We start from the raw sequence: 8,183 nt of genomic DNA, 5'->3' as shown, positions 1-8,183 counted from the left end.
CAAGCAACCACAAGATGTAGAAGCTATGCTTAATCTATTTTTCTAACATGTCCTAAAACATAGAAAATATTTTAAAAACTAAGGCCAGTATTTAAAAATATATCTGAAGCAGTGTTTTCAAGATTCGTATTTCAAAATACTCTGAGATATTAAGATAATTGTAGTACAATTCTACAATTAAATATTCTGCAAGCATTAAAGCTTATGAGGCAACAGTTTATTGACCTGGGAAAAAGTTTACAATATATTGCTAAATGAAAAAGAGAAGCTACAAAACAGAATAAATAGTATAATCTCATCAAATTCTTTGTGTGTGCTCATGTGCACACAAACACACAATTAACTCAAAGAATATACATCCCAGTGTTAACAGTGGCTACCTATGAGTGGTGAGATTAAGGAACATTTTTACTGAATGTTCCTTACTGGTTAGCAAAAAAAAAAAAAAAAAGAACAAAAACTTGACCTCTAATATTCCCCAGCCCTGCTCCTTGTCCCCAGATAATGTAATTGGGATATGGAGGTAATTCACAGGACTCTTAATTCTGCTGAAGTGACTCTTCAGGCCACACAGTCTAGAGATCCCAAGGGACAGTAACGTTTCACATCCTAACTTGCAATAACGCTCTAACTATTCTAGATATCTAATTTATGATATAAAATATTTCTAATTAAGATGCTTCTGAAATCATACGATACATATACAAATAATAATACATGCATACAATGACATAGAGCTGATATAATATCAGTGAGTAAATGTTGAGATGGCGGCAAGAAAACCCTGTTTTACCTGTTGCCTTTTACTGACCTGTAGGCCCCTAGTTAACACACTTTTCACTTTACACAAACTGCATGTTTTATCGGCCTTATTGTGAACTAAATGTGATCTTTCTCTAAAGAAAGTGCCCAATAAATAAACATCATCCCAAATGCACACCCAATATTCAGTCCAGTGGCTGGCTATTTGGGCCAGATGGCAGAAGAGACAGGAAGTGTTGGCCTATGACAGGACAACCTCAGGAAAACATCACGAGAGTGGATATTTCTGAGCTAAAGCAGGGCAGAGTCTCTATCCTGGCTGGAGCAACTCTTAGGAGGCCCAAGAATAACAGAGCTTGCAGGCTTTGTTAGCTGTAGCTGATGGTGCACTCACGGCCGTCTCTTCCCTGGTGCTGTGGCTGAGTTGCCAGCTGCTTTTCTGTATTCATCGAAGCTGCTTCTAAAACTGGCTGGAGTGGAGCCTTTGTTTCTTCCCAAATTCTGGACTCATTTTTAATTCATGGGTTTATAGTTTCAGTCAGAATTGAACTTCCTGGTGTTCAAATGTATTTCATCTTGGCAAAACAGGCGTTCCTGGGTGCTCTGTCTCTGTCTCCTTCTCCCTGTCTCTGTGTCTCTCTGGTCTTTCCGAGCGACCAAAACTTTTAAGCTGCTCGTATTTTTTTTTTTTTTTAAGCATGCGCAGAGGCATCTTCGACATCAAAAAGCTCTTACAACACACAACCTTTTGAAGATTTAAGTGTAAATGAAGCAGAAACATATGGATTCTATTTTCCATAAATCACATACGGTCCTAAAAAATCAAGGAGGGTATGTGTTTTGCATGATGTATTCTGTTTAGTTGAACCCAAAACATCTGAGGCATACTTGGAGGTTGATGAATCCAAAATATTTACCCATCCCTATTTATAACATTGTGGGGGAGCCCTTGATTTATGGTGACAACTAAACTGCTCACATCTGTTGAGTGGGCAACCAGCAACCAGTGTGAGCTTCAAAGATAACCGTGTTCCTTCTTCTGTTCTGACTCCAGGCATTCAAGTCAGACCCAGATCAAAGACACTGAAGCCTTTACTTGAGCTGGTCTGGTTTGCTCTTGCTTGAGCTTTTCTCACCTAAAACAATTGCCAGTTATTTCAAGTTATGTGATATCCAATCATGCTTGTGTCACTGTGGGATGATGCCAGCCTCCAGCAATAATCCAGATCTGACCCCTTGTGGGAGCAGCCCCACCACAAGGAATTCTGGATTATTTTCCCTTCATAAAACCACAGCTGTTGTGCCTGCACAAGCCCCTGACTTTTTCATTGAAGGAATGAATCACATTTTCATGGAGCAGGAGAAATGCTTCTCCTTGTTGGTATCTCTGCCTATCCTCAAGACTCTTCACTGATGCAAAGCCCAAATCTTACTTTGCAAGCTACCAATAATCCTTTGGAGTTTATTTAAACTTGGCAGAGACTACATTCTGTGAGAAAAAAAAATTGCAATGGCAGCAGCAGGGATCCAAACAGGATGTTTGTGAAGTCTGGCAAAATAGGTGCACTGAGTGCCTTGTTCTTGTCTACCTAATTATTGTTTACTTCATTCTTATCGCCTAACTCCGAAACAGCAAGTTCCAGCCACCTGACATCCGTTATCTCAAATCTTTTAACCATCCTACAAGGTAGGCATTAGTATCCTTGTTTGACAGATTAGAAAACTGAGGCTCAAGAGCATTAAGCAACTTGCCCCATTGACAAGGCTATTCCAAAGCAAATCTGGGATGGACATGTGTATCTTTCTGGTGCCCAAATGGCTTCCCTTCGCTGCCTTCTGCTAGATCTTGCTGCCATATTCCCATACCCAATAAATAATATTTTCTATGACTTGCCCAGACTGAGTAAACATTTAAAACCTAGACCTTCATGTCTCCGAAACAGGAGGCTTGAAGAAACACTGAAGAAACATTATATATAACACTGAAGAAACATTCCCTGTCCATAGGAAGGGAGATCAAAAGACAGAAATCCTTCTATCTGTCCTGGCAATGTTTTTATTATGAGTCTGACCTCAAAAGAGAGAGTCATTTTTCAAATACGCCTTTTGTCACAAGAACAGGCTTTGTATAAACTGAGTTTTATATACTGTACTAGACTGAACTGTAAAATGTCTACATTTAAAATAGTGCAAAAAGTGTTCAGTAGTAGATTCGAAGGAAAGGAGGAGAGGGTGCACTTTAAATATTTTAAAACTCAAAAAAATGTATTGTATTTGATGCACCGGAGTCCTGTCCATCAGATCTTAAATCTTCAAGGAATCCTTGCCCTAAGATAGTGTTTCTCAACTTTTTTGTGTTAGTGCCCTCTGCCACAAAGACTTTTAAGGTTTATTTTCCTAATCTTCCCTCACCCACCATGAAATTTTAGTATCACAGATATACCTTATATCTGTTTATGTACTGTGGTTCTTTGGCCCGCCACAAACAAATGCAATATCTAAGATTATGTCACCTTTGAAACCAATTTTCACTGCTTCCATGGGGAATGCATGCTGAGGGTCATAGATCCAGAGAGCTGACAGTGTTGGCCTCAGATGATCTCACGGCCAAACTGATGTACAGAAAAAGTGGCCAGGAGGCCACAGAAACCATGGTAATCCTCCACAGATTGCCTAAACAAAAGAGAGGGGCAAATTTTCCCTTAAGTGTGTTCAAGAGAAAAATGGACTTGCTTGAAAAGGGGCAATAAATTTATGATATTTTCTATGTATTTGAGTGGTTTTATCATAGAAATAGAACTCTTGGAGCTGAAGTGGACTTCAAAATTGCATCTAGTCCAGCCAACTGTCCTCAGGCAAAAAGATATTTTTGGTCTGACTTTTTAAATTGATGAAGCATTTAAGTAGAGAATATTAGTTACTTGTTTATGTAGCACAGATTTAAATTCTGACACCAAGAAAAAAAAATATCGTCAGAAGACGCCTTTGCTTTATCTTTGCCATAATAAAAACATTGCCAGGACAGATAGAAAGATTTCTGTCTTTTGATCTCCCTTCCTATGGCCAGGGAATGTTTCTTTAGTGTTATATCTAGTGTTTCACAGATAATACAATATTTTGTATATATTGTGTTGTAAAGCCTCCTGTTTCAGGGACTTGAGAGTCTAGGTTTTAAATGTTTGCTGTGAGTCTGGGCAACTCATCACAATCCTGGCTCTGCAGGCTGCCCTGGCTCAGTTCTCTACCCTAGTCTTCCACCTCTTTTCCTAACTTTCCCAACACCCATAAATCAGGACCCAGAGCAGCTTTACATAGTAGGTTCTCAGTGAATATTTGCCTACTATGCTGGGCACGTACCTTATTTTGTTAAAAAAGATAATAGTGACAAGTGGGTTGAAGATAACCAAAGTTACAAGATGTTAAGACCAGATTCACATTTAAAGATTTTCACCTTTTAATGTTAACATTTTGAAACAATTTTGCATCTTTTTAGAGATTTGGCAGAAGTCCAAGACCTTATGGCATGTGAACAATAAATATTTAATCAGTAGTTTATCACTCAAAGATTTCTAAAGCTGGTTTAAATTAGAGTGTTCATGGCTGATAATAGTCTAATATTTGATGTTTTCATATGTGTTTTATGAAGTGCTTTTCAACTCCTTAATTAGAGATAGTAAGTTATAAGGAAATTCCTTCTAATTGTCCTTCTTTCCACCAGTCTCAGAGAAAGGGATATATTTCTCTCTGGTAATTTGCCCCCTCCCCCCCCCCCAGGTTAGCCTCTCCTCTCTAGCACCTTTAGTTTCTTCTATTCTGTTGGCTTCTTCCCCTCAACTTTTAAACGGACTCAGCTGTCCTCTATCTTAAAAGAAAATAATCTGCATTTGCTGTGTGTTCCTACCTACTTCTTGAGTAGGAGTGATCCAAGCCCCTGGCTCTATTTTACACACACATACACACACACACACACACACACATACACACATTTAATCACCTCTGTACCCCATCATGTGGTTTCTATTGCTTCTCTCACTGAAGCATCTTCTGAGAACATCATTGGTGCGCTCCCAATCGGCTCAGCCAAGACATTTTCCTGGTTTCCATCACCCACGATGACTTTGATACATTTAACTGTTGCCCTCCCACCCACTAGAAATTCTCTTCTCCTTTAAACACCTCATTGATTTTACAGGCAAAGAAATGTACCAAGTTTTTAGGCTGACTTCAAGACTTGATTAGTATGAATATAATCCATCCAAGAAGCAAAGAGTTCAAGACCTAAGTCACAGCCACAGTGCTTGCTGTGGAACCTGTTTGTCACCACTGTGAATGAGTGGAGAGAGAGATGAGAGCTGGTTAGTAGGGAGCACTGTATTCTGAGACATGGAGATTATTCTTGCTGCATGCCAAGTCTCGTGCCAGGCAATTTGCTATTGGGATCGCCCTTTGCTATGGCAGGTGGAGTTTTCTGTCTCTTCCTTTCCTAATTTCCTGCAGATGTTTGCTAAAATAGAAACTTGGTTAGAGTAATAATACATGAAGGTTTTACCAAGAGATGATCAGTATCAGCAAGACTAAGTCTATTTACCTTTTAGAGGCTTTCCTTGAACCCTGAAAGCCCTAAGCCGACTCAGATAAAGACTGTACCATGCCACTCTAGTCCTTGTTAACTACCTAATGAGGCTGAATTGAGGGCCCATGGTAAGGGATGAGGATGCTAGAAAAAGAAAATATTGTACAGACACTCACCCTAGGCTGACTTCATATGAACCAAAATAAAACTTCATAGGAAAACATCCTCTGGATCAGTGATTCTTAAATGGTGATAATTCCTCCACCCCAGGAACATTCTGCAATGTCTACAGACATTTTTGGTTGTCACATATAGGGTGAAGGGGAGTGCTGCTAGAGGATAGAGGACAAGATGCTGCCAGACATCCTAAAAAGCACAACTAAGCCCTCCACACCCAAAAAATTATCTGGTCCAAAACATCAGTAAATGCTAAGGTTGAGGCTTGTGTGCTGAACTCTCCAGGTGTAAAATAGACTCTGAGTGGCAATGTTTTCTTTCTAGAACAGGCTGAGTCAACAGGCTTTTTTCCAGATTCACGGTGCATAACCAAGGGGTTCCATTGCAAACGAAGCAGCAGGCACAGAGAGTCTCTATAGCTTGTTCATATTTCTACAGCCGATATGTGAGGACACCTTGGAAATGTGCACGCTGGCCCTGCCTGACTCACTTCACGGCCCACGCTTTTTTCCATATCACCTGCCCCAAGCAGCTGAGCTGCAGACATTCAGTTGCATGTGACTAAGGGCTAACTCACTTCTGCAATGCAAAAATTAGCTAGAGAAAATGCAAAGACAGAGAACTGAGACTAAGTGTTCCCTGTGAAATTTGTAATCGAATTAGAGTGGGACAGAATGAAGCTAGGGGTTGTCTGATATGTGGGCAAGTACAGACTCTGAGGTGTGAGGTCAGAGCCAAGTTATAGGAAAATAAGATGAGGTCAGCTGGCTCCTAGATAAAGCAAAAGACTGGCGAAGGCTCTTGCGAAAGTGATGATCCCAGCCAGGTGAACCTGGTCTTTACCAGATTCTCTCTTGCATATGCCCTATTTGTTATATCCTCTGGACCTGGAATCACCCAGCTCTCCTGTCCTCCCTCAGCTTTCACCACAAGTCACCTCTCCTTTCCCTTTGTTCTCGTCTAAAGCTCCTTCCCAGAGCAGCTCTTCAATAAGCAACCATGAATTTTCAACTTTTTGGCTAGTAAGATAGTGCTTATGCTTCACATTGTTATTATTAACAATATGTTATCTCTCCAACATCAGACTCGGAATGGAAAATTTTATTTATACTATTGTATAGTCAATGCTTTGGGAAATATTAGCTATTTTTGCAGATGAAACTCCATTCCATCTTATTTTGGAAAAGAGACATCTGAAGTCCAGAGGGGAAAAAATTATCCACCCAGTTTAAAGTAGAGCCAATGAAAATATGGCCTTTTTCACTCTGTCTTTTGTTATTATTGTTTATTTTCTTGGATGGGCAGTATGTGTGCACACACACACACACACACACACACACACACATATATATTAATATATATATATACAGTACAAAACTGAAAAATAAAAAAAAAATTCTATTTCCACCCCTGACTCACCAGGTTCCCATTCCTGGACCCTACTGCAGCAGCAACTTCCATTACCAATTTCTTGTGTATCCTCCCAGAAAGTCTATGCATTTACAGATGTACATCTACGTGTGAATATTGCCTCCTGGCCTGTAACCAGTGCCCTTCCCATTCCTCTTTGTGGCCACCACAGCTTCTATTGCTCAAGACAAGCCATGACAAAACAGATGACACATTTGTGCTGTTGAAGGAAAACTCAGTGACTCAGATAGACACAAATTGTTCCATGTACCTTTCATCCTCATTACCAGGTGACTTTGCCAAGGTCAAGTGGTGACATTCTGATTTACCACTAAACTGACTGGATGTAACTCACGTTTGATGAGAATATGAAATTCAGATATCAAAAAGGAAAAAATATGCTTAAATTTTTGAGTTTCATAATTAAACTTGCTTTTATTGCTTTGTTGAGAATATTATTTCTCTTTTAGTTCAATGGATGCAATCTATCTGAAAAGCTAAAAATAGGATTTCTCCAAAATTGCCAATTAATACCCAAATCTTTAAATTTAAGTTCCAGAATCATCACATTTCTGAAATTTTCCTTTAGCATCCCAGGTAAAAGAGCCAAAAGGGTCTCATTGTTTTAACTGGCCAGGTTAGGCTGAGCTTAATCCAAGCTCCTGGTAGGAAATGCAAATTTGGCTCACCGTGGCTGTGCCATTTACAAGAACCTGCATTTGAATAAACCAGGAATACATTTCTCTTGACTCTTATAGAGCCCTTTTGATAATGACTCCAGCCCTCCTAAGGTTTTTGTCCAGGTTGCCTGAAAGTGGACAATTTTTACAAGTTTGCTTTGGCGCCCATGGCATGGATTTTTATGGAAATTCACAATTGTTTTAGTGGGTGCCAGTTTGCCTGCAGATCTCTGTGGGAGCCTCCCAGCCAATTTGATGAGAACTATATGCACCTAAAACATGCCAAGTGATGTAAGGAGTGACCTGTCCCCAGTTCTTTGCTCTCCTGCATATGACTGCTGATACATCTTTGCTCTCAATTTAAGGACACACTATTGAGTATGTGCAGTATTTCTGAAGTCAAAAAAACATTTCTATATTGAAGCCTCCTCTGCTTTTTCCCTGAAAACATGTCTGTTTCTCTGGGATTAAATCCAATTTATTCTATCATATCAAACTGGTAAGGCAACAATGATACAGGTTCATTGGGAATATATATTTTCCATGAATGAAACAAAATGAGGATTTGGTTAGGAGAAGGT

General features: G+C 39.6%; 1 long non-coding RNA gene across 1 annotated transcript in view, besides 1 other annotated feature; it reads left to right on the top strand.

Annotated features, from left to right (window-relative positions):
- The window catches only part of ZNF474-AS1 (ZNF474 antisense RNA 1), a 41,478-nt gene that overhangs the window by 26,611 nt on the left and 6,684 nt on the right, over nucleotides 1-8,183 (top strand). The window lies entirely within an intron of this gene.
- Nucleotides 6,976-7,270: a silencer, noted in NCBI's record as "tiled region #13182; HepG2 Repressive non-DNase unmatched - State 24:Quies, and K562 Repressive DNase matched - State 9:DNaseU". NCBI's record gives its function as "represses a minimal TATA promoter and a strong SV40 promoter by Sharpr-MPRA in HepG2 and K562 cells {active_cell/tissue: HepG2 | K562}" and the evidence as "EXISTENCE:reporter gene assay evidence [ECO:0000049][PMID:27701403]".

Source organism: Homo sapiens, chromosome 5 (genome assembly GCF_000001405.40).
Source record: "Homo sapiens chromosome 5, GRCh38.p14 Primary Assembly".
NCBI lineage: Eukaryota > Metazoa > Chordata > Mammalia > Primates > Hominidae > Homo > Homo sapiens.
The sequence above is the reverse complement of the archived record's forward strand: the minus strand, read 5'-3'. Positions and strand labels throughout refer to the sequence as shown.